The following is a 27961-nucleotide window of genomic DNA, read 5'->3' as shown; positions in this document are numbered from 1 at the left end:
TGCCATTGAACTCCAGCCTGAGCAACAAGCACAAGACTCTTCCCCAAAAAAAAAAAAAAAAAAAGACAAAGCAACTTTAATCTTCTGGAGGAAAAACTGGGTTGATACAAAGTACCAAAAGTACGTCATGTGACAATCTGTATCTGTGTTTGAACTGTGGCTCACCCCTAGCTCTGTGTGGCTCCAAGAAGACATCTGATTTCAGAACCAGAGGTAAGAAGCAAGCGGTGACACTCTTTTGTTCTCAACTTGTTTAATATGGAAAAAGGTCATCAAAACGGTAGGCAGGGTTGCTGTTTTTAATACATTCTTGGGATGTTGGCCATTCAGACAGCATTATTTCAAATATAGATGAGTTATCCAACTTTTTTTGACTCAAAGATAGTTTGCTTAGATTTTTTTTGAGATGGAGTCTTGCTCTGTCACCAGGCTGGAGTGTAGTGGCGTGATCTCAGCTCACCGCAACCTCCGCCTCCCAGGTTCAAGCAATTCTCCTACCTCAGCCTCCCAAGTAGCTGGGACTACAGGCATGCACCACCACACCCAGCTAATTTTTGTATTTTTAGTAGAGACAGGGTTTCACCATGTTGGCCAGGATGGTCTCGATCTCTTGACCTCGTGATCAGCCCGCCTTGGCCTCCCAAAGTGCTGGGATTACAGGCGTGAGCCACTGCGCCCGGACTAGATTTTAACAAGACCTAATTCCATGGGATTATGGTGGCTAATTTATCATGAGAATTAAATATAAAAATGTGGAGGCTCTGAGCTGCCGACAGAGGTAAGGACTACCGTGACGGGAATAGTCGATGGGCTAACAGGCAGCCAATCACATTACCATTCCTTTGTGACAAAGGGTTAATACTTTAACATAAATTAATTATACATTCATTATGGTGTTTTAAAACAGTCAAGCCTAAATAAATTCTTCATACCATCAAAAAGATATACATACTAAAAACCTGCTTCAGCACAAAGTTTTTCATTTGACAGCTCTTGGCCTGGGCCATACACATTAACAGGGATCTTCTGCTTCTTCAAGCTTAATATAGTACGTCTGGCAATCATTTTATATAAAAATAAGATTAAATTTAAAACCTCACCAAACTAGGATCCTGGCGCTGTAGAAAATCAGGGAGACACCAGAATAGCTAAAACCCATAGTTCTCAAGCAAGCTTACATCCAGTCACCTGGAGGCCTCGTGAAAACAGCTCGCTGCACCCTGCCGCACACCATTTTGATTCAGGAGGCCAGGTGGGGCCTGCGCGTCTGCATTCTAACAAACAAGTTGCTGCTGCTGGGCCAGGAGCCCCACCTTGAGAACCACTGGGGCTAAGACAACTGTAAAAACTTAGCACCATCTCCATCACTGTTCAGTGGTAGACAGCATAAGCTTTCTGTCATCCGCATTTATTCTGCAGGGGACAATGTGGAGGTGGCCCTCATGATACCACTGCTCAGTACTTTATTGTCAAAAGAGAAGTTCTGGGCTTAGCTAAAAGAGCGCTTCTCTGTCAGCATGCAGTATAGTTTACAACTAAAGCCATATACAATATATTTGAAATGTTTTATTTAATGCTGAAAATTTTACCCTAAGGGACAGTAGGATGTGTAAAAAGAAAGGAAAAGGCACAGTAATTAAGTCATCCTTAGAAATGATGAGGTTTTCTTTCTTTCAAATAACTTCACTTTAATGTAACTTCAAGCCCAAACATTCTGGGAGGTAAACAGTCTCTTGGTACCTACGGGGCCCGAGAGGCAAGTCAACCTCCTTGAAGAACGGAGCGCTGGAGTCTGAGCACGCCAAAGACTCTCTTTAAAGCAGGGTCTTGGACCAGAGAACCCTGAGCAGCTGGAAGACAAAAGACTTCCTCAAGTTTCAGGAGGAAGGTACCGTGGACATCCTTGAAAGAGGACCCCAGAGAAAAACTTGTAGGCAGGGCTGGGAAGAAGCCATTTCTGAGTCTGATTCAAGACAGTGACAGAGAGCAGCTCGAGGCTCAGGGCACCACCCGGGCTCCCTCGTGCTCCACCAGAACCACCGCCAGCCAACTGGTCAGACGGCTCTTGCCTGGCTAGTCTGAGGCCTCAGCTGGCGCGGGCCTGGCGACACTCTTACAGATGCCTACTAGCCAGGCGGGCATGCTCATATTTTCAGTGGAAAGGTACTTGCAACTGAAGAAAATCCTGAGGAAGCTGACGCCAGAATTCAGAACTCTTAGCCTTGAACTTTGTACAATGGGTTCTTCCAAGTGAAATGCACTCACGTCTTAACAGCAGCACCGAGCAGCCCCGGAAAATGGACTGAGAGGGCCTGGCGGTCCACACGTGTCCTACGTCCCTCCCACTAACGTGCTTTCCCATTCGTGGGGACGTGGTCACTATGGGAGCCTGCCCAAGAGGCACGGCTCTACCCAAAGTGAACCAGCAGGCTCTGGCCGTATTCAAATGGGGCGCAGGGTCAGCTTTGGGGTTTGGGAACTGCACGCTGAAACTGCTGCCGCCGGTGAAATGGAAGGTCATCTGGTCGCTGTGTTCAACAGATTCCTCTTCAGTTCCCAACAAAACGCCAGCCTGTTGTCCTCTGGCCTGATTTTCCTCATCTGCTACACAGCGGAGGAGTCTGGGCCCAAGCTGCCCCCATGTAAAGTGCCGCGTGCCCGGGGCTGCGCTGGGGTCAGCTGTGGGCAGCGTGGGCTCAGAAAACGGGAGCCTGCAGGCAGCCCCGCCTGAGAAGAGCTTGTGTCACCAGGAAATAGCTGGTGGCTTGCGGGTCCAGCAGGAAAACACTGCTCCTGTCACCCACAATAGCTTTTGTACCAAAGAGAAGAACACTCAAAAGGAAATGATCCAATCTCACAATAAGCTCCCAACTGAACGGGTAAAGGCGGAGCATCATCGCAGTGTATGACTCGCAGGAACTCACTTAAAATACACACATTTGCTTCCCCCATGATCCAATATAAGATTGTTACTATTGCTTCTTTCAGAGGACCATGAAAAGAATTTCTATCTTAAAAAAAGGAACTCAATTTGTTTAAAAAAGAGCAACAGTGGGGAAGCGGCTCCCCTCCCCCAAGTCATTTTGGCTGGCACACTGTCTGAGCATCACCCTGGCTTTCAAAGCGTCTCAGCTTCAAGACGCGTCCCTGGAGATCCAGCCGCTTTCTGTGAGGAAATTCAAAATCCTTTTCTTTAGGACTTTGTCCAGGTAGCTAGGAAGGCGGCTTTTGGAGGGGATTCCTTGCCGCTTCTGGAGGTGGTCTTTAATTATAATAGTCTTCACAGTCACGTAGCGGGCTGGACTCAAGTTTAAAGAGCTGCAGAGCACCTTCTCGCGATCTGACAGGAGCTCGAAGCCTGGAAGGTTCTCAATGGCGGCGAACTCGCTGTCTTTGCCGTCCTCCTTTCCCCGTTTGGAGCCGGCTAGGTTTTTGTTCTCCTTCCTCTTCTCCCGTTTATGCCGCGCTGCCTCGTACTCTGCCGACTCTTCCATCTTGGTGATCCCGTTTCGCCGGTACCGCTGCAGTTCTCGGATCTTGGCCCGGAGCATTTTTTCTTTGTGCATGTTTTCAAAAAGGTCATCAAACTCCTTGCATGACATGAACTGGTACAGCGGCCTCAGCTTCAGGCGCAGCTCCTTCTCCTCCTTGGTGATCTTGCGCTTCAGCGCCTTTTCCTTCTCCTTCTTGTCCTTCCCCAGGAAGGCTGGCACCAGATTGTAGTCACGGGCGATGTTCTTCCGCCGCTGTCTCTCTTTCAGCTTCCGCACGTACATGTCCACGTGGGCGCGCTTCAGCTCGATCTCCACGTCGTCGTCATCATAGTTGACAGAGAGCCCGCTGATGAGCGTCTCGGCATCCTGGTCATACTCGATCTCGTAATCATCCCGCAGCGGCATGTAGCCCAGCTGCTGCTGCTCAGCCACAGAGATGTCCAGCGGGGGCAGCGGGGTGGTGAGGCTGGGTGAGAGGGGGCCTCCGCTGGGACAGGTGTGGTCTGTCACGCGGTTGGGGATGGTGTCGGGGATGCAGGCCTTCCCCAGGTTCCCGTGGATGTACATGCTCACGTAATGCTCCATCACCTCTTGGGGAGTCCGGGAAGCACCAACGTGGGCAGCCATATCTTCCTACGATGACAAAGGGCAGAAGTTAGTTCCACCATCAGGGTGCCAGATTTGGGTTCCGCACAGATTCTCTTCACGTTTTTACAAAGGCTGACCTAGAGTACTTCCTACAGCACCGTTACCCACCCTCCCCAAAGGCATTCAGTCACACACTGTCTTATGAGCTGGGCTCAGGGGAGAGATGACAATGTTGAAGCAACAACACATGCTGATTCTGTACATGAGAAAGTGAAGACCCAGAGAGGCACAAGCTGGCACAAGGTCTTGGGGTGAGCTGGTGGCAGAGCTGAGGCCAGAACCCCTGGCTGAGGTTTGGACTTTGTTCTCATTCCCCACCTGCGACCAGAGGAGCCCACCTGGTACTGCCATAAACCCTGCACTCAGGGGCTGTCTGAATGTCCCAGGAGACAGCAGGGCAGGCCAAGGAATGCCTGAACTCGCCTCATTCAGACTAGAAAACGGGCTTGTGCCAGGGTGTGAGACCAGGCCAAGTCCACGGCACTGCAGGAGGGGACCCAGTTCTACCATGTTGCCACCCGCTGGAAAAGCAAGGGCCAGGACACCTCTGTGACGCTTGTCCTGGCCGCACACCCATCCTGGCCTTCATGCGCCGGGGGGGCTGGCGTGGCCCTTTCCTAGGCAGTGACTGCAGAAGATGGGCCTGTGGCTCTTCAAGGGAGCAGGCCTTCATTTTTAGCACCTTCCACGGTTAAGCAGCTGGCTGGGAGTCTGCCACTGGCTGAAAGCATTCATCATTCCTACAAGAGGGTAACCCATAAATACAAGGTTTAATGGGAGGAAACTGTATAACTCCCTCAATCTTTTCCTTCTGCCGAGAGGCCTCTTCCTCAAAGTCAACCGCTAAAGCCACTTCAGAAAGTAACTGCCCAAAGTGCGCACTCATTCCCTGGCCACCGCCTCTCAGCCACCCAGCCCCCACCTGCCTCTGCCCGCCTGGGTGTGGAACCAGCACTGCAGCGCTGCCTGCAGCACTGCCAGAGGCCCAGCTGAAACCAGAGGGACCGCCACCCCATCCAGGCTGATGACTATGAGCTGGCGTCTGGGAGAGAAGTGTTCTGGGCTCCAGGAACGGATGGGATCCCACAGCTGGGGCTTCCTCTGGCACACATGCCTGGAGCCGAGGTGCTGGACCCTTCCCCCCGCCACCTGGGGCCCAGGAATCTCCAGGACTCTGACTACAGAAGGCAGTGCCAAAACTCAACTGTGGGCCTCTTTGAGAATCATAAAGTAAAAATATTAGAGCTAAATGTTGATTCTGGTCTTTGGGGACAATGACTGCTTCTTTTAAAAACACCGTTTGTAGCAAATCTGTTCATTTTATTTCCCCAGGAAGCATTTGGCCTAAAACAAAACACAACACCAAGTCACAACTATTGCCGGCAGCTACTGCCACTCTGTGTGACCCAGGCTGGTCACTGCCCATCTCTGAGCCTCGGGTCTGTCATTGCCAGAAGAGGAGACACGTGCAGCCCCACACACCTCACATGGGTAAGAAAAGCCTTCAGGGCCAGAGTGGGCCCCACACAGCGAGCGCGAAGTCCCCTCTCATGGAGCAGCCGGGGCAGACGCCACCAGGAACTCATGCTCTTCCCCGACAACCTTGGGGCCAGGGAGCCCCAGGAACCGCAATGGCCTCTGAAACAGATAACTACAGGCCGTGTCTACCTAACGGAACAACAGTCCCTAACGCCCGCCCTTTAGGAAGGAAAGGGTCATGTTGGGTGGAAACCCTGGGTGAACATCCTGGGGTGCCTGGAAGATGGGAATTTCCATCCCAACGCCTCACGTCTGTGCTTCCACCGCGCAGGCGGGCGGCAGGGGCAGAGCCGGCCTTGGCCTGTGCAGCTTCTCCAGCCCTCGACACCAGCTTCTGTCCAAGGCTGCGGAGGGGCTGCTGCATACACAGCCGACTCAAGAGGCCAGTTTCCAGGAGGCTCCGATGGCTGCTGCACCAGGTTCCCAGGCACGTGAGGCTGGGTGTCCCCCTCGTCCCAGAGGCTCTGTGGTGCCGGCTTGCTTACCCAAGGTCACAAGGTGAGTCAGTGGGGCCCCCCTGGCATTGGCCCTGGTCTCAAGCCAGTGAGACTAGCAGGAAGAGGCCTGCAGACTTCTCACTTGCAGAGATGTTTTTAAAATATCTTACTTACGGCTGGGCACGGTGGCTCACGCCTGTAATCCCAACACTTTGGGAGGCCGAGGCAGGCGGATCACGAGGTCAGGAGATCGAGACCATCCTGGCTAACATGGTGAAACCCCGTCTCTACTAAAAATACAAAAAATTAGCCAGGCGTGGTGGCGGGCGCCTGTAGTCCCAGCTACTCGGGAGGCTGAGGCAGGAGAATGGCGTGAACCCGGGAGGTGGAGCTTGCAGTGAGCTGAGATAGTGCCACTGCAGTCCAGCCTGGGCGAAAGAGCGAGACTCTGTCTCAAAAACAAAACCAAAAAAAAAAAAAAACTTACTTACTTGGCAGATTTTCAAGTTAGCAACACTAGGTCAGCCTCCAAAATCCTTCAAAAATCTGGAAGTCTGGAGCACAAACCCATCGGCATCAGCTGGACTCCTTAGTGTGCCTCGTGGGGTCTACAGCTGTCCCTGGCTCCTGCCTCGCACCTGTCAGGAGCTTCCCAGCACCCAGCCAGACATTGGAGGCCTGGCAGCGCCCACCCTGCTGGAGGTGCCCTTTGCTCCTCGTGCCCAGGCTAGGGGCTGGGGTCCACCTGGTAGGGCAGTGAGGAGGCAGGTGCGGCCACAGCGTGTGCTCGGTCACGGCAGCTTTCCCCAGCGCTGGATGCTGTTAGCTTCCCTCCCACAGGGAAGGTTTATCCAAGACCAGGTCGCCGGGTCCAGGAAGCCTTCAGTGACCCCCAGGGCCGGGCTCAACTCTTTCCATCAGTTGTGGTCCTCTCAGCTTGTTTCCTGACCTGCCAGCCCTCCTTTTGCAGGTTTTACCAATAAAATTTAAAACAACAGCAGATAAGCACGTCTACGCCCATCATCCCACTCACCCCGTGCGCTTCCCACGGAGGAGGAGTGTTGTTACCGCCTACGGTTTTCAGATAAGGAAAGTAAACCTGAGGGTGAGCCCCTGCCAAGGGCACAAGACCAGTGAATGCTGAGCCACTTCCACACCAGGTAATGTGGCTGGGAGCATACACCCGTCGCCACGCGCCCCCCACCATCCCACGATGCAGCGCACAGCAGAAGGGGGTCCTAGCCGCTTCCCGATGTTGTGATGAGAGGCAGAGCGAAGCCGGACGCTGGGCTTCTGCTCTTCTTTCTGGAACAAGCACGTTGGAGACGTGCCACAGCTCAGGCTGACCCTGCCCCCGTGATGTGCAGTGAACGCAGGCCTTTGCGCCCGGCGTCGTGCCCGAGGCTGCCAGCCCTGCAGGCTCCGGAGCATCTCCTGTCCCGGGCGATGCCGCAAAGCCCTGCGGCTCTGCTGTCCCTCGGTGGCCCCACTGCTGTCCTTTCCTCACCCCCATCTGGTCTGTGAAGGACGAGGCAGAGGACAGCTCATCCCGGCCACAAGCTGGGCTTCTCCCGGTGGTTTGGGGCCAGGCGTCGTCTCCAAAGGGAGGCCCAGCACCAGCTCCTTTTTCTCCAAATGAAGAAGTCTCAAAAAGCCAGGAAGGCTCAGTTCCCCAGGGAGCTCGGTGTAAGGGAGGGGTCCCACCAGGGAAGGGCATTCAGCGGGCAGAGCTCTCAAGGAGCAGCTGGGCACACTGGTGGCCCCTGCAGGGCCAGGAGGCAATGGAATCCATGGGACAGGGGACTGGACTATGTCCTAAAGGACAGGAGGGAACCACTGGCCCCAGGGGCAGAGCAAGGTAAGAAACACACCAACCACAGGCCACAGGTGGCAGCGCGGGAGGGCTCCAAGCCGAGCCCACGCGTGCATTTCCCATCTGCACAGGTCAGAGAGCCCTGACATGTCACCTGCCTGGCCACTCCGCAGAAGCGTGCAGACATGGGAGGGCCCCACCTGCCACCCAGGCCACCAGCCCCTCTTAGGAGCTCCAAGTCGCACCTCCATGCCGCATGGGCTCCAGGCTGACTAGGCTGTCCTCATCACATTCCACAGCAAAGTCACTTCAGCACCTCCAGTCTCAGCTCAGCCTCAGACACTGGGCCAACAACTAGGGCCACCTGCAGCTAGCGGCAGGACAGAGCGGCCGGGCAAAGGTAGGCGTGGGATGCCAACAGCCCTCGGGGCTGGCACACCAACTCAGTCACGGCCATGCGGTGGCCCCTGGCTCTTCCCTCTTTCAGCCTTGTCTGTCACCTTTAAAGAGACAACTTGAGGACACCGGGTCACCCCCTGTATCTTCCCCTTCCCTCCTCCCTGCTCTAACAGCTCAACTCTCAGCACAAGCATCCCTCTGATGCCAGAGGCTGGGGACTTACTGGCTTTGCAGCCACTGCTTCCAGGTGTCAGACCTTTCGGAGACCCCACTGTCCCTGGCCACTGCCCCCAGCCTGTTCCAGTGGGCAGCCCTGCAAGCCTCAGTTCTAGGTCTCTCTCAACTCAGAGACCTCAGTGACTTAGAGTTGTCATTGGCCCTCAAGGTGACTGACACCTTCAGGTCAGATAAGGCTAACTGTGACAGAGATTTTGAAAGTGGCATTCCTCACTGTGGAAAACAGCAGGGCGGTTCCTCAAAATCACACACAAGGCCAGGCTTAGCCTAACCCCAGCACTTTCGGGGGCTGAGGCGGGAGGATCACTTGAGCCCAGAAGTTCATGACCAGCCTGAACAACATGGCAAGACCCCGTCTCTACAAATAATTTAAAAATTAGGCGGGTGTGGTGGTACATGCCTGTAGTCCCAGCTACTTGAGAGGCTGAGGTAGGAGGATCGCTTGAGCCCAGGAGGTGGAGGCTGCAGTGAGCCATGATTGTGCCACTGCACTCCAGCCTGGGCGATAGAGCGAAACCCTTAAAAAAAAAAAATTACACACAGAACCTAACCTAGCAATTCCACTTTTATTTACTTGACGAGATCCCTCAACACCATCTTCATAGCGGCCTTGTTCACATTCGCCAAGAGGTGGAGGCAACCGAATGTCCGTCACAGCTATGTAGATAAACACATTATGCCACACAGATGACAAGGGATTGTTCAGCCATGAAAGGAAGGCCGTGCTGACGCATGCCACAACACGGATGATCCCTGACGACATGAGGCAAAGTGAAATACGCCAGTCAGAAAAGGACAAATCCTGCAGGACCCACGCATTTGAGGTCCCTAGCGCCAGACGGGAAGTAGAATGGGGGTGCCAGGGACTGGGGAAGGGGGAGGGGGAGTGAGTGTTGAATGGGGACAGAGTTTCAGTCTGCCAAGATGACAAAATTCTGGAGGTGGCTGGTGGTGATGGCTGTACAACACTGGGAGTGGACTTAATGCTTCCAGACACTTAAAAACGGTTAAAATGGTAAATTTTATGTTACACGTATTGTACCACAATAAAAATCAATATATTTTTAAATAATTTTGAAGTTTTATAAAGTGACATGTCTTACCACTCTACCCCAGTGGTTCTTAAAGTGGGGTCCCACGGCGGCCGCATCAGCAGCACCTAGGAGGTTGTTAGAAATGCAGATTCTAAGCCCCACCCCTGACTCAGCAGCTTGGGAGGTGGGGGTGACTCAGGTAAACCAGGCATCCTGGGTGTCCCACTGTGGGCTGGAGTTGGAGACCACCTCTGCGTGCCCTGCCCCTCCCAGCCACTCTCCCATCCGGGCTCTCCCTCCCCCTCCCGCCATCCTTAATGGTCATCCCTGGAAGCCCGCACAGTGGAGGCTCCTGCCCCGGCGGGGAAGGTAAGTCCCCACTTCCCATGGTTCCCAACCATGCCTCACAGCTCCCTGGGGTTCTTTCCATCCATCCAAATTTCCAGACCTCGGCCTCAGAGGTGACAATCCAGCAGATCTCAGGGGATCCCTGGGAATTCTAGGGGATCCTGCGGCATGGCTGGTGAACAATGAAACGGATGGTTCTAGGCATGGAGTCAGAAGCCTTGGGTTGAAATTCCACGTTCCCACATCACCCACAGTTGTTTCCTCGTTTGTAAAAGTGGGGAGCACCTGTCTCAGGGATTAGGGGACGGGGAGATGGTGAGAGGGGCGCGTGTCAAAGCACCTGCTCAGGGCCTGGCACTGGCGAGCAGACACTGCGTGATCACAGAGCCTGAGCCAGCAACACTCTTGTACCCAGCACCCAGGGCTTTTCACCAGCTTCCTCCCTCACCCCAAGCTGGCTTTTGCCTGGCCCTGAATACACCAGACTCTTAAAACACAAAACCCTTCCTTCCTCCACACTCTCCTCTACCTGCACAGCCATCTTGTGTCCTTCCCTCCGCAGGACATCCTGAGGCCCACTTGCCCACACGGCACCTGCCAGGTGAGGCAGCTGTCTTCCTCCTAGCCTGTTCTCACCACAGGGGCTGGCGCACACCAGGCCCCGAGGCTGTGCTAACTGAATGAATGAGCGAGAGAATGAATGCACGCACAAGGCAGTGACCATCGATGTGTCTGGCCTTCTGCCACCTCCTGGGTGTCCACCATCATCTCAAAGGGTGCAGCTCTACTCAGGACACCCCACCTGGCTCCAAGAAGGAGCCTGAGTGTTGACGTGTGTGCACAAGGCCTTCCATGGTTCACAGAGAACTTCACATGCTCATTTGATTCAAAACCACAAGGGCCAGCTTGAACCCCACTTCCCCGCCAAAGCCCTCCTGACCACCACCTGCAGAGGAGCACTGGCCCTCCTAAAGCTCCTCAGTGTCAGCCCAATTTCTTTGGCAACCAATCAACAGCTCCGGCTCCTCTGCCACCACTGCGACTTGCCCTCAGCTGTCACCTGTGTTTGCGTCTGTGTTCCTGTGCTCCAGCAGGGCCTGCATCCTCTAACTCTTGGAATCCTGCGCAGAACCCATCACAAACCGGCCTTCTAGAGACGCCAGACCCCGCTAATCTGACTCTAGGCCACTGCTTGCCAACTCTTACCCACTGTAGCCAAGGTCCTTTAACCTGTTCTCTCTGCCCCTCGCTATCAAACATACACACCAGCACACGGGTTGTCCCTAAGCCCCCAGGTGTCACTGTTAACCCTGCTCAGCTACATCCCGTCCCCTTCAGGCCCCATCCCCCAGCCCTGGTACAAAATGTGACCACAAAGCTGCCAGATTTGGCCACAATCCACCCTCTCCCATGAATCCCACATGTAGTTGTACAACCCCCAGGCCAGGTGTCACCATTTGCCATCTGAAAGTAGAACTCAACAGGTCTCATCTTTCGTCACATCACTGTCGCCAGCCCCCACACCATCTCCTTCCACACTCACAGTCACAGCCCATGAGTCCAGGCCCTGCCTCCACACTAATCTCCAGTGAATCAGGTCAAGCCCTTCTGCCACTCCTGCGGTGGCACCGATGGCCTCCCAGCCTCTGACCCACATTGCTTAATGCTCTCACCCAGAATGGGTTAGGGCCCAGGCTTTGGAATCACATAGGCCTGCGTTCATTCCTGGCTCTATCACATGAATGCCATGGAATCCCTGACAAGGCGCTTAGTTTCTTACAGCTGCTGTTCTTCAACTGTAAGAATAAGAACCCACCCCCGAGGGTTGCTAGGAAGATCCCACAGGACACATATGGGAAGAGCCTGGCCCAGAGCGGGCAGAGGCTAAATATGCCAAAGTGGGACACGCCAGCTCTGTGCACATAGCTGGATACATGCTCAGAAGAGCACCACCCATCTCAGAGCTGCAGAACAGCCTCAGAGGAAGAAAAATAAAGTCCCGGGGGATAACGCAACGAGGTTCTGCCAGGGAGATGGCAGCACGACCAAATACTGGTGCCTCACCACTCCGGGGGGGTGGGTGGTCACGGGCCAGTGCACCCCCTGAGTCCTGGTTGCAATGCAGGCTCTCAGGCCTCACCGTAACCTCGCGCTGGTGCAACGGGAGAACGCCCTGACCGCAGCCTGGCCAGGCTCGCTGTGCACCAAGTCCCAGCCCCATTCTCTTCCTGTCCTGGCTCTGCCTCCTCTACCAGCTGAGTCAGAATCTGCATTTTCACCAGCTCCCCAGGTGCTCTGTGTGCACATTCGTTCGGAAAGTATTGTTTTAGAAGAGGCCTCTCCACTTCTAGCCTGGTTTCTTCCAAAACCACATAGATGTTTTTGTTCCCCAGGTCTTGTGTTCTGTGTATTTTCCACAGTGCCGCAGGGAAGGCAGTGCAGACAGTGAAGTTAAGAGTACAGGCTCTGAAGTCAAACTGGTCCGTCCAAAGCCAACTGCCAAGGGCTGTCGGGAAAATGTCCTGAGATACGCACAGATATGCCACCAAGGCTCTGCGCCTCCTTAGCAGCTAACGTAGAGGTAAGTGCTGGGATGGTGAAGGGAAGGGCCCTCTGAGGCACTGATATTTAAGTGGAAAGCTCAATCCTGGGCCATGATTTACAGGGAGAGCACTCTAGGTAGAAGAAATATAAAACGATCAAGGGAGGTAACAGATGAGATCTCATTGCTCAACACTTCTAAAGCTGCCTTAATTGAAGTAAAAGCCACTGAGGCCGGTGTGAGGCGCTTTGTGCTTCCAAAGCTCGCTCCGGTTATGGTGTGTGGAATAGGGGAATGGGGTGGAGGGGGAATAACGAACAAGGAGGCTCCCAAAGTGGTCAAGGCAAGAAGTAAACGTAAACATCAGCCGGGACTACGGCTGTAAGAAGTGGTTTGTTCTGCATGTACTGTGAGGAGACAGCTGATAAATTGGATCAGGAACTTAGTGGAACAAGGAACTAAGAGAGGCAGGTAGGCCAGGGAGGCGGCTGGACATGGAGGGCTGGTGCTAGGGAAGAGCTCTGGGCCTAGGACCAAGTCAGTACCACACTTTAAGCTCCCTGAATGCAGGGATAAAGCCTTCTCTTTCCTTCAGAGTTCTCCGCCACTGTAGAATCCGCACAGAACACATGCTCAGTGCATATCCACAAACAGCATGGAAGGACAAGGTGGGACGGAGTTTCTGAAAAATGGAGATCCCAGTGCTGGTGGCCATTAGGTAAGGGTTTGTAAAGGAGCATCTTCTCTAAGGAGTTGGGAGGAGAATCAACATTCCAGGGCTTCAGAATGAGTATGTGAGGCGGCCCTGAGACTCACTCAGGAAAGGAAAGCAAAAGGCAATCAAAGCAGCCCAGGCAGGACTGCTGGAGAGGTGGCAGCGAGATGGATGCTGTTCCGAGAAGCAGGCACCTGGTGTAGCAGGGGAAGACTCTGGAAAGCTAAGGGCGCTGGGGGTGTCTCACTCCCCTCCTCCTCAGGGTGCCCGGGGATGGCCACATGTCTTTGGTGGTTATGAGCGGGAATACGGCTAGAGATTTTCTCCTTTCTAATACGGATGCAAGCTTCCAGAGTGGAAGGAGAGCTGAGAGACCGCCCAGAGAGAACCATGTTCCTCTCTCAAGGACAGAACCTAGCACACGATGTTGCTAGCGTAAGTGGATCCAGTCCAGCTCTCACCGCTCCCCACACAGGGCTGTCTCTACAGAAACCTCAAAGGTAAAGAGAGCAAAACCCAAGCCCCAGGCCTCCCAGGCCAGGCCTCTTTGTTCATTCTTTACTGACCATTCGCACAAGGTCGTGGGTTGTGGGGACCCAAGCATAAACCAGGCACGCTACCCACAAAAGACTCTGTGCACTGCGGACCACACAGGGCACATGCATACAGTGACAGAAAGCAAACGGGGCCGCCCCAGAGACCCCGAGACAAGCCGCAGGGCGCCCACCGCTCTCCTTCCCTGGTGCTCCCACCGCTTTCTGTCGAGTCTGTGGGCCTGCCTGTCTCCACGAACTCAGGTAAGGCACCGAGTCTTGCCCAACGTCTGCACTCCGCAAACGCCTGTGAAGGCGTCCCTGAAGGTGAGGGAAATGGCTCTGCTGTCAGAAGCCAGCGTTCAAAGCCCCACTCGGCCCCGTCTCGGCTGTGTGACCTTGGGCGCGTCACAGCCTCTCAGAGCATAGGTTCCGACAGGTGCCCGACTATAAACCGGCAGCGTCGCCCTCCCCACCTCCGGGGCCTTCTGGGGTGCGGAGCGAGCGAGCAGGTCCAGCGCTGCCTGCGCGCCCGATTACAGGAGAGGCGCGGGCCTTCCAGTGCCCTAGCCGGGACCCGGCCCCCGTCGCGCCGCTCACCCAGTTTCCGAAGCCGAACTGCTCGATGGCGTCCAGCAGCAGCTGCTCCTCGCGACTGGTCCAGCCGCCCTCGGCCTCGGGCCCCCAGAGCGTGAAGCGCCCGCCGTCCACCAGCTGGTAGCCGTGGTAGCGGCGGTGGTGGCCGATCTCGGCGCCGGCCGAGAAGCACTCGGGGCACAGCTCGATGTCCTGGCACTCGGTGCAGCGGAAGCGCAGCGGGCTCACCTCGGCCAGGCAGTACACGCAGTACTTCTTCCCCAGCTCCGCCATCTTCCCCCGCTCGCCGCCCGCCGCCCGGCCCGCCGCAGCCGCCGCGCCCCCGGCCGTCAGCGCCCCGCCGCCCGCGGGACCCGCCGCCGCCGCCGCGCACGAGCAACCGCCGCCCGCCGCCGCGGCTGCCGCCACCGCGGCCCCAGCCCAGCCGCCGCCAGAGCCAGCCAGCCGGGCCGCGTCCCCCCTCAGTACGCAGGCGCCGTCCGGCCCGGCCCGGCCGCCACCGCCGCCGCAGCTGTCGCCCCGCCGCATCGCGCAGGCGCCCCGCGGGCGCCACCTTGCGGACGCCCGGCCCGCCGCTCTGCGCCTGCGCGCCCCCCGCGCCGGCCACCGCCGCCTTTCCCAGAGCCTCCTGAACGCCCCGCCCCAGGCCCGGCGGTGGGAAATGGGCAGGCAGAAAGCCCGGCGGGGGCGCCACGCCCCTCGCGGCGAGAGCCCACGGCCGCTTCCAATCAATCTCGCCTATCGTCAGCTCGCGGCCTCCCATTGGCTTGCTCTCGCCGGGCAGCGGGGAGAAGGCGCTGGACGACGGCCTGTCGCCTGGCCAATCGCCGGGCCCAGCGCGCGCGCCTTCTGTTGCCCCGGGAAACCTAACAGCGTCCTGCCGGGGTCCGCTGCGCTGGCCGAGCCGGGAGGAGATGGACGTCAGCTCTGAGCACACTAAGGACCCCGGCGGGGAAGGCGGAGACGGGGAAAGCCTGGCCGCGCGGCCGTCCAAGATCAAGGCCAGCTCTGGCCCTCCGACCTCTCCCGAACCCGGGGAGCTGGAGTCGGAGCCGGAGGAGGAGGAGGAGGAGCAAGCGGCTTCGCAGGGAGGCACCGCCGCGGACGAGCAGGCCGAGGCCCCGAAAGGGCTAACGGCAGCCGAGGCTGCGGGCGAGGAGGGGCCTGGAGAGCCGGGGAGGCCGGCCGAGCCCCAGCCCGAGCCCGAAGAGCCGGCCGAGGTTGGGGCTGAGGAGCCCGCCCAGCCGGAGCCCGGAGCCGGGCCCGAGGAACTAGAGGCGGAGGCGGGGGCGGAGGAACTGGAGCAGGCGGCAGAGGGGAAGGAAGTCAGGTTCCAGGCCTCTCTGCCGCTGACCAGGATCGATGAGGAAGAGGCTGCTGCAGCCCCGGAGGCCGAGACAGAGCGGGTGGAGGGGGAGGAAGAGGACAAGGAGGAGACGCAGAGAGACGGCGCGGAGAGCAAGGAGAGGGATGGGGAAGGACGCCCGGCCAAAAGCCAGGAAGAGGGGAAGCGCCTCTATGGAAGGGACGAGTTTGAGGACCTCGAGTGGTCCGAGGAGGTCCAGAAGCTGCAGGAGCAGCAGCTGCGCAGCGACCTCCTGGACCAGTACCGTTCCCTGCTGGTGGAGCGGAACCGCTCCCAGCGCTACAACCTATACCTGCAGCACAAGATCTTCGAGGCGCTGCGCAGAAAGAAGGGCCTGGAGGCCGCTGAGGTGGCTGACCGGGGCGCAGAGGCCGAGGCCCCCGAGAAAGAGCAAGCGTACCTGCGCCATCTGGGCATGCTGGAGGAGCTGAAGAAGCAGCAGGCAGACGACCTGCAGTGGTACCACCAGGAGCTGGGCCAGTTGAAGCGGCAGTGCCAGGAGAAGCTCACCAGGGTGGAGAAGGAGTGGCGACGCTTCCAGGCACTCAAGAAGCAGGTGGTGATGCAGGCCATGGGCAGCTGTCGGATGAGGGGCGGGCGCCAGGCTGCTCTGCGAGAGGTGGAGCAGATCCAGGCGTTGGAGGATAAAAAGGAGAAGGAGATGAGCGCCGTGCGGCTGGAGAACATTCAGCTGAAGCAGAGCCTGGTGCATTTTGAAACCAGGATGAGGACCCAGGAGGACCTGACCCAGGGTCTGCTTCTTATTGACTTTGAACAGCTGAAGATTGAGAACCAAACCTTCAATGAGAAAATTGAGGAACGAAATGAGGAACTTTTAAAACTTCGCAGCAAGGTGACCAACAGTGTGCAAGTAATAACCCACGTGAAGGAAAAGCTGCACTTCATGGACATGGAGAACGCGTGCAAAAAGACACAGCTGGCAGAAATCGAGGCCCAGGCCGCCCTAGGAAGAGACATCCTGACCAAGACGAAGCAAGCCCGAGAGGGGCTGCGGACGGACAACATCAGACTGAATCAGAAGTGCGGCCTTCTAGGCAAGGACTCACTTCTTCGGGACTTGGAAGAAAAGGTGGACAAGACCGAACTGCTTCACCGGCGCCTGGAATCCCTGAAGCGCCACCACGCTAGCCTCACTTTGTCCTGCAGAGGCGTGAGGCAGAAGATCAGGGAGGCCAAAGCCTTTCTCCCTTCTTGACCAGATCGATGAGAAGAGTCTGCAAAACACTTCATCCTCAGGACGTGCTGTCCTGCTTTATTTTACCTTCGTTGCTATTAAAAAGGCCTGTGTCATTTGGGACGGGACTCTATTTTGTATTTATCTCAAAACGTTTTAGCTTCCAAATCAGTGCTGAGCCCAAACCTGGGTTAGGAGTTTTATCTGGGATTGAGCAAAAATAGGTCCAGAAAAGCAAACAAAGGGTGATTTAATGTAACTGACTTCTCATGAAAAACTGTCAAAAGTCTCAAGTCTGAGCAATTCTATAATTTCAGTGATGTAATACTAAAGAGTACTGTTCCTCTTTCATATGTAGGAGGGTTTAAAAGTTCAGCGAATGGGCAAGGTACAAAAAAACCCTGTGCATTAAGCTAATTATTAAATTCTTTGGATTTATTAAATTATGTAGTCCCGAGACACTGTTTCAGTTAGAAGCTCACTAATCCCCTTAGATTAATCTTAAATTTAAGTGATTTTGGGCCGGGCTAGGTGGCTCACCTCTATAATCCCAGCATTTTGGGAGGCCGAGGTGGGCAGATCGTGAGGTCAGGAGATCGAGACCATCCTGGCTAACACGGTGAAACCCCATCTCTACTAAAAATACAAAAAATTAGCCAGACCTGGTGGCGGGCGCCTGTAGTCCCAGCTACTCGGGAGGCTGGGGCAGGAGAATGGTGTGAACCCTGGAGGCAGAGCTTGCAGTGAGCTGAGATCGCACCACTGCACTCCAGCCTGGGCGACAGAGCGAGACTCTTGTCTCAAAAAAAAATTTTTTTTATATGTGACTAGCACGAGCTTAGGGGGCAATAAAAATATCCAGGAAACAGGAGAGATGATAAACAGGAGAGGAGCTGATGTTTCTTCATCGTCCCTTTTTCAATGAAAGGGAGTTCAGTCTACTCACTGTTGATGGTTGTTTCTGCTTCAATGACAGTCTTCAATTATTATTATTATTATTATTATTATTATTATTATTATTATTATTATTATTTTCCTTGGGACAGGGTCTCTGTCTCCCTGGCTGGAGTGCAGTGACAGGATCTCGGCTCACTGCAACCTCCACCTCCCGGGTTCAAGCGATTCTCCCGCCTTAACCTCCTAGGTGGCGGGGATTACAGGCACAGGCCACCATGCCCAACTAATTTTTGTATTTTTAGTAGAGATGAGGTTTCACCATGTTGGCCAGGCTGGTCTCGAACTCCTGGCCTCAAGTGATACACCTGCCTCGGCCTCCCAAAGTGCTGGGATTACAGGCGTGAGCCACCGTGCCTGGCCTGACAGTGTTCAAGTCTAATGAAACATGTTCTTGGATCCTCTGAAGAAATGCATTAATCTGTACCAAAAAATGAAATTTTGGCCCGGGCGCGGCGGCTCACGCCTGTAAATCCCAGCACTTTGGGAGGCCGAGGCGGGTGGATCACGAGGTCAGGAGGTCGAGACCATCCTGGCTAACACGGTGAAACCCCGTCTCTACTAAAAATACAAAAAAAAAAATTAGCCGGGCGTGGTAGCGGGCGCCTGTAGTCCCAGCTACTCGAGAGGCTGAGGCAGGAGAATGGCGTGAACCCGGGAGGCGGAGCTTGCAGTGAGCCAAGATAGTGCCACTGCAGTCCAGCTTGGGCGAAAGAGCGAGACTCCGTCTCAAAAAAAAAAAAAAAAACTGAAATTTTGTTTTCCAGTGAAAACAAAATGACAGTTGTATTGCATGCTTTGCAAGGTGTAAAATATATTACACGGTGGCTGCTGGCATCACAGGAGACAGAGCCTTCTGTATCAGTCTATTTCAGATCTCGACAACAGGGCCCTTGCTATACACGAGTTCATTGAGTATCAAATAGTAAAATGCCCCTTATTCCTTGTGTCAAAAATACCTGGTAGGTCTGTTTCCTTAATGCAATATCAGTGATTATCTTGGAGCTAGGGGCTTGTTTTCATTTCTTCTTAATCCTAGATTGAATTTTGAGATGTGCAGATTTGGGGTTAAACATATTCTCCCACTCCTACACTTAAGTGAATCATAAAAAAATGCAACACGGTTTTTGGTGCTGGCTACCTCTGAAGAACGGTGGGAACCCAACTCTGGGCAGGGGACTTGGTTGTGAACGTTATCTTTGGATGCCATGATTTTGTGTTTTTTTTCTTTTTTTTTTTTTTTTTTTGAGACGGAGTCTCACTCTGTCTCCCAGGCTGGAGAGTGCCGTGGCATGATCTCAGCTCACTGCCACCTCCACCTCCCGGGTTCAAGCGATTCTCCTGGCTTAGCCTCCCGAGTAGCTGGGATTACAGGCGCCCGCCAGCACATCTGGCTAATTTTTTGTATTTTTTAGTAGAAACGGGGTTTCACCATATTGGCCAGGCTGGTCTCAAACTCCTGACCTCATGATCCGGCCGCCTCGGCCTCCCAAAGTGCTGGGATTTACAGGCATGAGCCACCACGCCCGGCCATGATTTTGTTTTGTAAAGTGTGCTCCCTTGGAAGCCAATGAAGGTTGATTAAAATTCCTTTTCTAACTTTCATGGCTCGAATACACTTTTTTAAATCAAACCACTCAAAAGTAGTAATGAGTTAAAAAGCTTTAGGCCGGTCGCCATGGCTCACACCTGTAATCCCAACATGTTGGGAGGTCAAGGCAGGTGGACCACTTGAGCCCAGGAGTTTGAAACCAGCCTGGGAAACATCACAAAACCCTATCTCTATAAAAATACAAAAAGATTAGCCGGGTGTGGTGGTACATGCCTGTGGTCTCAGTGCCTCAGGAGGCTGAGGCTGAGGTGGGAGGATCAGTTGAGCCCAGGGGGTGGAGGCCGCTGTGAGTAGTGATCGTGCCACTGTATTCCAAACTGGGTAATAGTGAGATCCTGTCTCCAAAAGCTTTGACTTCTGGCTTCCATTCTCACTCACTTATTCATCAACATTTTAGTCTTCCCTCTACGCTTTTCTTCAAAGCCAAAGCAAATCACTGGCGAACAGAACTTCCTGTGTGCCTCAAACTAAAAGCAGGACAGGCCCACTGGGTTCTTCTGTAGTTGGGGAGGCCTCAAGTGGAACTGGCAATGATGCTCCGAGACCTGACCAGGCATGTGGCTTTCGTGATAATGGCGTCCTTTATCTCTTTGGTTTGCTACAGGGAGAATAGGTATTTTCAGCTGGTTTTCACCCACCAGCAATTATCCAGATCCAAGCAAACACTCCCTCACCAGACTTGAACCCAGTAACAAGCAGATCTCTCAGAGCACAAAGATACAAAGGAGTCTGCCATGGCTTTAAGGTGCAAAGCAAACCTGTCCTAAGTGACTGTATAGTGAGTTACCAATGTTCTCTCAAATTATAGTACCTTATGCTGGAGATGTTACAATTAATTAGAAGGTAATCTTCTGCTAATTATCTCCCACCACAGTTCTTTCCAATTCTAGGAGAGTGCTTAATCATGAAATAGCAACACACTCACAAATTGATAATGACTTCTGAAGAATTCTACAGACCCTAACGCAGTCTATCCCCAAAGTCTCATTGAAGAGCTGTTAGTGCCTCCACAGAAGCCTGTGTGCGGCCCCATCTCAGCCTTTGATCTCCTGCTTAGTGATGGTGCACTTAGGTACCTGTTCCCCAGTGAGACAAAGTCCCTGGAAGTCAAAGACTGTTGGTTCATCACCCTCCCTAGTGGCCAGCACAGTACCTGGCATATAAATGGTAATCAGTAAATGCGTTGGATTAATACATTAATATAATGCCCATCTCACTCGTTTTCTGAAAATAAGTATTACTTGAATGCCTATCACGTGTCGGGCACTGGTAAGTCCTGTGTTGGATTCAAAAATAATTCCAGGCAAAAAGAGGATCTCGCAAGACATAGAACCAGTTAAGGAAAATAGCAGAATGGCAGACTTGTAGTCAAAGTAGGAAGACACTACAGGTAAAGAGAGTTGTTCATGCCAGCAGGGAATGCAGCTGCTCCAAATGCAGCAGCTGGGCTAGAAACCTCTGAGACATGATGATTTTTTAAAAGACTGTCATCTCCTCGTCAAAAAGTAGAGGACCCAGAAAACGTTGGCACTGAATACATTTTGAGTGAGGTGTTATATAAAATTAGACCTTTCTTGAAAAAATAGGTATGAATCAAAACTGAGACACTGAGGTCTGTCCCCTTCAGTGTTACAGGAAGCTTTCTCTTTTTCAGCAGCAGTAGCAAGAGTAAACCAGACACCTAATTTGACAGAGCCTGAGGCATCTGAAAAGAAAACACTTTTTTTTTTTTTGAGACAGAGTCTTATTCTGTCACCCGGGCTGGAGTGCAGTGGCACGATCTTGGCTCACTGCAACCTCCGTCTCCCAGGTTCACACGATTCTCCGGCCTCAGCCTCCTGAGTAGCTGGGATTACAGGAGCACACCACCACACCCGGCTAATTTTTTGTGTATTTTTAGTAGAGACAGGGTTTCACTATGTTGGCCAGACTGGTCTCGAACTCCTGACCTCGTGATCCGCCCGCCTCGGCCTCCTAAAGTGCTGGGATTACAGGCATGAGCCACCGCGCCCGGCCAAGGAAACACTTTTTCATCGGTAAATGAAAATCATTTTTGCTGACTTAACACATTTGAGATTTAAAATTTATCTAAGTAGAGATATATGCTTTCTTCCTTTATAATAAGTTCATCTGTAGTCATAATTTAGATTTTGTTCTCCACTGGCATGGGGTGCCTGTCCATGAAATATCAGAGTTATTGCACCTCAATTTGGTGCTTTTTGTGCTTTGAACTTTCAGATAGTCTTAATGTCAGAGTGATGAATCGTACAAATGCTATGAATGGAAAGGGCTGCAGGAGGCCATTTCAACTGACTGCATGCCTCCTACTTCCATGCAATATTCCCTCCAGAGGACTGTCTACTTTTAAATCACCAATGATTAAATATGTACATATTTTATTTTACATTGAATTTCAATTTTTTTTTTTTTTTTTTGAGACAGAGTCTCACTCTGTCACCCAGGCTGGAGTGCAGTGGCATGATCTCCACTCACTGCAACCTCTGCCTCCCGGGTTAAAGCGATTCTCCTGCCTCAGCCTCCCAAGTAGCTGGGATTACAGGCACCCACCACCATGCCTGGCTAATTTTTGTATTTTTAGTAGAGACGGGATTTCACCATGTCAGCCAGGTTGGCCTCAAACTCCTGACCTCAGGTGATCTGCCCACCTCAGCCTCCCAAAGTGCTGGGATTACAGGCGTGAGAAACTGCACCCGGCTAAATATGTACATATTTTAATGAATAAAATTACACCCTCCCTAATTTTTAAATTGACGATGTATTCTAACATTTCACCCACAGGATGCCAAGGGTGAATACGAGGATCTGTCTAGGAGAAGACACAGCTTGTTCCTAAGACCTTGGAATCAGGCTGAGCTGGATTCAGCTCTCTTCTGACTGGGACCTGGGACAAAATACTTCAGCTTTCTAAGCCTCAATGTATTCATTTGTAAAATGGGAAAATTTTACTTATAGGAAAAAAAGATCAGAATTTAAAAACAGTATCTTTTCTCTAGGTGGTACAATTAAAAACAACTGTCTTCATGCTTTTCTGAATTTCCAAATTTTATATAGTAAACGTACTTAATTTAGGAGGAAAATCCCAAATTAAAAAAAATTCTTAAGTTCAAGAGTATAAGATACTAACGGTTTCCATGTGAAGGGCATGAGTCTACCAACCCATGGCAACGTTTCTGTGGGTGTTTTTTAAAAATATAATTAGTAGTTCAGCTTATTTTTGTTTGATCTTCATAAGCCAGTGGACAGGGCTGGGTACTCTTTTTAACCTTTGGTAACAGAAAAGAAAAATGAGGCTTAGGGAATTCAAGAAAATTCCCCAAAGTCACAGAGTTCCTAAATGGCAATGATTGGTTATGAGATTTATCTCCAGGGCCCTGTCTTAACCTGTGGCCAGACTGCACCTTAAACTTGGATTTATTTTTGGTTGGAGCAGTTTCTACCAGCAGCTCCAGAGCAGGGCAAGAAGCTGGAGGAACAACGTTTGAGGATAAACTTTGTGAGGTTCTGGAGTCCAGAGTGATGCTTCTGAGTTGACAAGTAAGTCCTTTTGTTGTAATGCTTAGGGAGAAGGCAGTTCCCCTCACTCCACATAGAACCCCAGGCAGCTCAGGCATCCTGGAAAATGGGGCTTTGGCAGCAAGTCTCGGGAAACAGTGCCTTGGTGTGGCCCTGGCCGGTGCTGCCAGAGCAGGCTGGCTGCAGGCGATGCTCGCGGGAGCCCATGGGGCAGGCCAGCACTCTGGGCCTGAAAGACCTATCTGGCCACTCTAGTTCGTGGCCAGGTTCCTGGTAGGCAGGCAAGGGCCTGAGTCATATGAGCAAATATTTGAGCTTTGTGTTTGTACCACACAAAGCAGATCCACTGGTTTCCCTGGGAACCCTGCAAGCCCCTCCGCGTCCTAACACGGACCCATCTGAGGACTGGCCCTTGGCTCTGAGGCTTCCCTCTGCTGGCCAGCCCCTTCCCTTGGCTCCCCGGTGACCCACAGCTGGTCTCAAGGTCCACACTGCCTCTCCACACCGCACTGGTGCAGCGTTCCGTTCTCTTTGTGCCTTCCTGCCTGGCAGGCTCCACGTCTCGGGGGTGGTTTGTAAACTATCAGCCCCTCTCCCCTGGGCTGCAGCACTCAGGAAAGCATCCCGGCCCCTTTCATGTTTGCACCTCTGCTACCTCTGGGGCAGACATCCCACGGCTCCTGCCACCACAGCCCGTGCTTGGCCCATGAGCCCCATTGGCCCCATCTCTTCCTCTGCAGGTGGTGCCTGCACACAGGAGGCGCTCAAATAAGTAAGTCCAGGCTCCACCCCAGACCTTGCACTTGGAGTTGAGGTCAGCCCTACAAGAACAAGGCTCGCAAAGGCCCCCTCCCCTAGAGGGTGTTTCTGACAAGGGCTTGGGAGTCATTCACAAGGCTGGAGTCTGAAACCCAGTTCTGACCACTGTCCGCGTCTACGCACATCCTTCCCTGCGTCTCATATTTTTTTTTTTTTTTTGAGACTGAGTATCGCTCTGTTGCCAGGCTAGAGTGGAGTGGTGCGATCTCCAACTTCCGCCTCCCGGGTTCAAGCAATTCTGCCTCAGCCTCCTGAGTGGCTGGGATTACAGGCATGTGCCACTACACCCAGCTAATTTTTTTTTTTTTTTTTTTGGCAGAAACAGGGTTTCACCATGTTGGCCAGGAAGGTCTTTATGTCTTGACCTCGTGATCCACCCGCCTCAGCCTCCCAAAGTGCTGGGATTACAGGCGTGAGCCACCCCGCCCGGCCGTGTCTCATCTTTGAAATGGGGCAATAGCCCTGTCATCCGCAGAGCAGCTGCAGAGATGACTCACAGGCAGCACTCGGCCCAGCGCCTGGCGTGGCTGTGACTGCTGCCACCATCACGCCTGTGGCCCGTCCTCTCACCATGGCCTGCAGAGAACGCATAGGAGATAACAGTGGCCCACAGAGGAGAGCAGCCACTGAGGGAGAGGCGGGAGAGCGGGCAGCCGCACCTGCTCTGGGGAGAGTGCTATGGAGCACACAGAAGGATTGTCCTGGGAGCAAGGGGCCAGAAGAGAAAGCTGCCCTAGGTTCTGCCCCGCCAGCCGGGAGCCTCCTGCCTCGGGAAGCGGAGCGATGCCCACCCACACGGCGGGCCCTGTGTTACCCAGTTCTCAGTGGCTTCGCGGAGCCTTCCACCACACAGCCACGGCCTCCTGAGAAGACACCACTGACCCCCACCTCATGCCACCCCACTGCCTGCTGGGGAGACAGACCTCAGTGCCTGATTCATGGGCTTCTGAGAAGGTTCTGAAGGGAACATGGAGAGCCCCTGGTCCTGTGGCTGGCACAGAGTAAGCACCAGCTGCACGCCAGGAAGGGTGCTGCAGGACCAGGAAGGAGCAGTGGGTAGGGGCTAGCTCGAGAGGGGGTACAAGGGTGCGACTCCCTCCAACCTGCAAGGGGCACACTCAACTCTCGAATCCCTTCACTCAACTACCACTGCACCATCCTGTTATTAACCAGTCTGATAAATGGATCTTAAGATATTCAAACAGCATCATGCTCAAAGTGAGAACTTCAACTTTAAACAAACGATGGTGAACATAAGTAACAATTTTACATTGACTTTTATTTAATAAAACCACCTATTTACAATTCAAAAAAGTCCTACTTTGATACACTTTACTAAATAAAATTAAAGGTTAACTGTACAAGCAATTAAAACATGATATGTAGCAAGTGTTATCAGGAGTTTTCAGCAAACTATTTAAAATAGTCAAAAACTGAGCAGTTAAAAAGTACCTTCTGAAGTGAATGCCGTTTCTAAATGGGATCCCAATGCCTGGCGGGAGAGGCAGCCTCACTCTACTGTGCAGGCTGGACAAAGGTCCCGGCCCTGAAGTCTTAGACTGTGAGAGTCAACGGCATGTGAAGTGGAGTGTGCAGACCTCTGGAGGAGCAGCACGTCAATGTCTCATTTCCAGTTTACTTAAACCACACACAGAGGCAGCCTCTACACTTGCCAACAGCCTCTGTGCCGAGGTGTTAAGGGACCCTGGCCGGGGACTCAGAACTTAGAACTTTCTGGCCTCTGAAGAGGACCCAGGAAACTGGCGAGACCTCATGTGACCCCTGAACAGGTCATACAAGCCACTTCTGAACTAAGATTGGGAAGGTGTTCCACACTGGCATGGGATCCTGTTCAGAAGCGGAATACATCGTAGTGCTATCTGGAGAGACTGATGTGAAACTGCTTCACCAGGAACACGCAGGGCTGGGCGCTGAAGACACAGAAGATCCCCAGGGGCAATCTGAACACACTGCACGAGGCCCTTTGCCGCGCCACCTTCTGTACGACTTAAGGAACATCTTTATGTACAGTAAGAAAATATATACATCTTTAAGGAACGGAACGCCCGTAACATGAACAAAAATAAGTACATCTGCGAGGACAACAGCGCACAGGCCTCAGGCGGCCCCTCCCACAGGCCCAGCTCAGACCAGATTACATTCAACATCTTGATGTCAGGAAATGGCTACGTCTGGAGGCCACCGGGACCCCCCCGTGAAGACAGGACGCCTCCTCCGAGAGGAGGTGAGTCAGCATTTAAAGGCCGAGGCAGAAAGTGGTCTCCACGATGCTCTGCAGCCTCCCTGGAGATTCAGCTGAGATGTAGGGGCAGAGTCCGGGAAACGTGACACATGATAGTGCTGGGAAGGAGGGCACGGGGCAGCCACTGGCTCAGCAACCTGCTCCTGCACCTCGAGGAGCATTAGCGGGTATGGCAGGCATAAAAAGTCCAGAGAACGAATGCCAGCTCGGCTTTCCTTCCCCAGCCCCTAGCCCAAGGCTCCTGTTACAAGCTATACAGACAGAGCCAAACAGCCCTCAACATCAGAAATGAGATCAGCCTGGGGGCACCCCCTGGGGTGGGAAGTGTGGCTGAGAAGGGCCGTGGAGTGCAGAGCACCCCAAGGCACACATGTACGCATGACTAACCAAGCCCGTGACCGGGTCCGCAGAATGCTCCCCAGGACCAGCCTGCCAGCGGACCGCCACGTGGGCCCTGCTTCCAGACACTGGCCTGCCCTTTAGACTGCGCAGCTGCAAAACGGTTCATTTCTGTGATTTTGGATAACCAAAGTCCTCACACAAAGTTCTACAATTAGTCAAGGAAAAGACAGAACAAAAAATTTGCCAACGACCCTGGGAAAGTCAGCTAAAATGGGGAGGCTGATGGTCCAGTATGAGCATCTGACGAGATTGTCTAGGCTGTTAGACGTGTGTTGCTCGCTCCTCCGTCTGTACAACGGGTCATGAAGCACACGTTCTAAAGTCAAATGTGTGAGGGACTCACTGGCACTTAGGATGGGTCCAGCTGTGCAGGGCTCAAAGGCAGAGAGGAGCCACTGCTGGCACAAGGGGCCACCTCCCCCACATGTGCTGTTCTGGGCTGCTGCCCTGGCCTCCACTGAACAGGCAGGTGGGAGAGGGCCCAGCCACACATCTCTTTCTCTACCCTTTTACTTACAGGGGGCTGATTCCACTCTGTGTTCTCTCCGCTTTTAAGCCTATCTCTATTGCCACAGGGCTTCCTCGCAAATAGCTCCTCCTCTCGAACTTTCCACCTCCGCAGGACCGATGCCAGGGAGCAGTCTCCCAGAGCGCAGTCCCACTGGAGCCCACGTGTGCACCTGCAGCCTCTACACTGTGACTGTGTCAAGGCAACATGGCCCAGAGCTCACCTGCAGGCTGGGTCGATGCCCAGGTATCCACAAACACACATCAGTGGCCATCCTCAGAGAGCCCCTGTTCCTTTAATGCTATCTTTCGTAGGTGAGTTTTAGAAACGTGACCTCCAGCTCTGGAAAAACTATCTCAATAACTCAATCAGCGATCCCTTTCTTATCGAAAACATGTAAATATCAGCCAAAGCATCTCAAGTCTCCCAAATAACATCTCTCATGCATCCTGGCTAAGACTGTAACATACTTCCCAGTAGTTGACATAGAAACATTACAATTTAATTAGCTTTTGCTGAAATAAAGGAGTGGGGGTGAGCCACTGCCCATCGTTCAACTGTGCAGCAGATGCAGTGGCTGGCTGTGGTCCGCAGCAGCTCATCCTTCCACTGAGCTGCTTAAGGCTAAGCCTTGGTTTAATTCTTTAAAAGTTTTTGTGTTTGTTTTGTTTAAGGCCAACTCCAGTGTTAGGAATCAAACTTAAAGAGCGTCTGTTCTTCTCGGCTGCCCGGGTGTCAGTCTGAAACAACAGAGGGGCCGCGGCATGGGGCTCTGATTGGTGCCGAGTGCGAATTCCCGCTGCAGCCTCAGTGTCGGAGGGACGGACTTCCCTTCTCCATTTCCCGGCTGTCTTTCTGCAATGCAGTCAGTACCTAGAAGTCACAGGGAAGACAGCTGAGGTTAAGTGACCACGCACACAGATCCTGACAGCAGCGAAGCAGAGACAGCAGTAGCCTCCTAACAGGGTCCCC

General features: G+C 53.3%; 3 protein-coding genes and 1 long non-coding RNA gene across 18 annotated transcripts in view, besides 7 other annotated features; 2 read left to right on the top strand and 2 right to left on the bottom strand.

Annotated features, from left to right (window-relative positions):
* Positions 1 to 236: 236 nt before the first annotated feature.
* Positions 237 to 14817, bottom strand: TADA2B (transcriptional adaptor 2B). Its single transcript, NM_152293.3, has 2 exons — positions 14340 to 14817; positions 237 to 4127 (listed from the first exon to the last, which is right to left on the bottom strand). The coding sequence occupies exons 1-2, from the start codon at positions 14607 to 14609 to the stop codon at positions 3135 to 3137; spliced, it is 1263 nt and encodes a 420-aa protein (NP_689506.2). The 5' UTR covers positions 14610 to 14817; the 3' UTR covers positions 237 to 3134.
* Positions 10498 to 10999: an enhancer, noted in NCBI's record as "H3K4me1 hESC enhancer chr4:7048917-7049418 (GRCh37/hg19 assembly coordinates)". NCBI's record gives its function as "activates a minimal SCP1, AML or CMV promoter by ChIP-STARR-seq in naive H9 embryonic stem cells {active_cell/tissue: H9 hESC(naive)}" and the evidence as "EXISTENCE:reporter gene assay evidence [ECO:0000049][PMID:30033119]".
* Positions 11469 to 11518: an enhancer, noted in NCBI's record as "active region_21273". NCBI's record gives its function as "activates an Ori minimal core promoter by ATAC-STARR-seq in GM12878 lymphoblastoid cells {active_cell/tissue: GM12878}" and the evidence as "EXISTENCE:reporter gene assay evidence [ECO:0000049][PMID:35858748]".
* Positions 11958 to 27635, top strand: LOC100129931 (uncharacterized). The gene is made up of 4 exons (NR_033828.1): positions 11958 to 12530; positions 13087 to 13209; positions 22915 to 23018; positions 24136 to 27635. It is a non-coding gene; the product is annotated as an uncharacterized LOC100129931 (long non-coding RNA).
* Positions 12258 to 12427: an enhancer, noted in NCBI's record as "active region_21272". NCBI's record gives its function as "activates an Ori minimal core promoter by ATAC-STARR-seq in GM12878 lymphoblastoid cells {active_cell/tissue: GM12878}" and the evidence as "EXISTENCE:reporter gene assay evidence [ECO:0000049][PMID:35858748]".
* Positions 13546 to 13605: an enhancer, noted in NCBI's record as "active region_21271". NCBI's record gives its function as "activates an Ori minimal core promoter by ATAC-STARR-seq in GM12878 lymphoblastoid cells {active_cell/tissue: GM12878}" and the evidence as "EXISTENCE:reporter gene assay evidence [ECO:0000049][PMID:35858748]".
* Positions 14866 to 15125: a silencer, noted in NCBI's record as "silent region_15245". NCBI's record gives its function as "represses an Ori minimal core promoter by ATAC-STARR-seq in GM12878 lymphoblastoid cells {active_cell/tissue: GM12878}" and the evidence as "EXISTENCE:reporter gene assay evidence [ECO:0000049][PMID:35858748]".
* CFAP184 (cilia and flagella associated protein 184) lies at positions 15188 to 17340 on the top strand. The gene has a single exon (NM_153376.3). The coding sequence runs from the start codon at positions 15251 to 15253 to the stop codon at positions 16916 to 16918; it is 1668 nt and encodes a 555-aa protein (NP_699207.1). The 5' UTR covers positions 15188 to 15250; the 3' UTR covers positions 16919 to 17340.
* Positions 15406 to 15555: a silencer, noted in NCBI's record as "silent region_15244". NCBI's record gives its function as "represses an Ori minimal core promoter by ATAC-STARR-seq in GM12878 lymphoblastoid cells {active_cell/tissue: GM12878}" and the evidence as "EXISTENCE:reporter gene assay evidence [ECO:0000049][PMID:35858748]".
* Positions 20502 to 20581: a silencer, noted in NCBI's record as "silent region_15243". NCBI's record gives its function as "represses an Ori minimal core promoter by ATAC-STARR-seq in GM12878 lymphoblastoid cells {active_cell/tissue: GM12878}" and the evidence as "EXISTENCE:reporter gene assay evidence [ECO:0000049][PMID:35858748]".
* TBC1D14 (TBC1 domain family member 14) overlaps positions 25075 to 27961 on the bottom strand; it is a 123649-nt gene continuing 120762 nt past the window's right edge. For all 15 annotated transcript variants that reach the window (XM_011513508.2, NM_001113361.2, XM_017008477.2 and 12 more), the window contains one exon: positions 25075 to 27862. In XM_011513508.2, the coding sequence (XP_011511810.1) occupies positions 27797 to 27862 (66 nt within the window). In that variant the 3' untranslated portion in view covers positions 25075 to 27796. The remainder of the gene's footprint in view (positions 27863 to 27961) is intronic.

This window comes from Homo sapiens, chromosome 4, assembly GCF_000001405.40.
Source record: "Homo sapiens chromosome 4, GRCh38.p14 Primary Assembly".
Lineage (NCBI taxonomy): Eukaryota > Metazoa > Chordata > Mammalia > Primates > Hominidae > Homo > Homo sapiens.
This window is presented reverse-complemented; position numbering and strand designations above follow the sequence as displayed.

What these genes read in the sequence shown, in the direction of transcription:
- TADA2B (NM_152293.3), bottom strand. Translation starts at nt 14,609, where the DNA reads ATGGCGGAGCTGGGGAAGAAGTACTGCGTGTACTGCCTGGCCGAGGTG. An exon ending in AGTTCGGCTTCGGAAACTGG is followed by an intron (nt 4,128 to 14,339) that starts GTGAGCGGCGCG and finishes TTGTCATCGTAG; the next exon opens with GAAGATATGGCTGCCCACGT.
- CFAP184 (NM_153376.3), top strand. Translation starts at nt 15,251, where the DNA reads ATGGACGTCAGCTCTGAGCACACTAAGGACCCCGGCGGGGAAGGCGGA.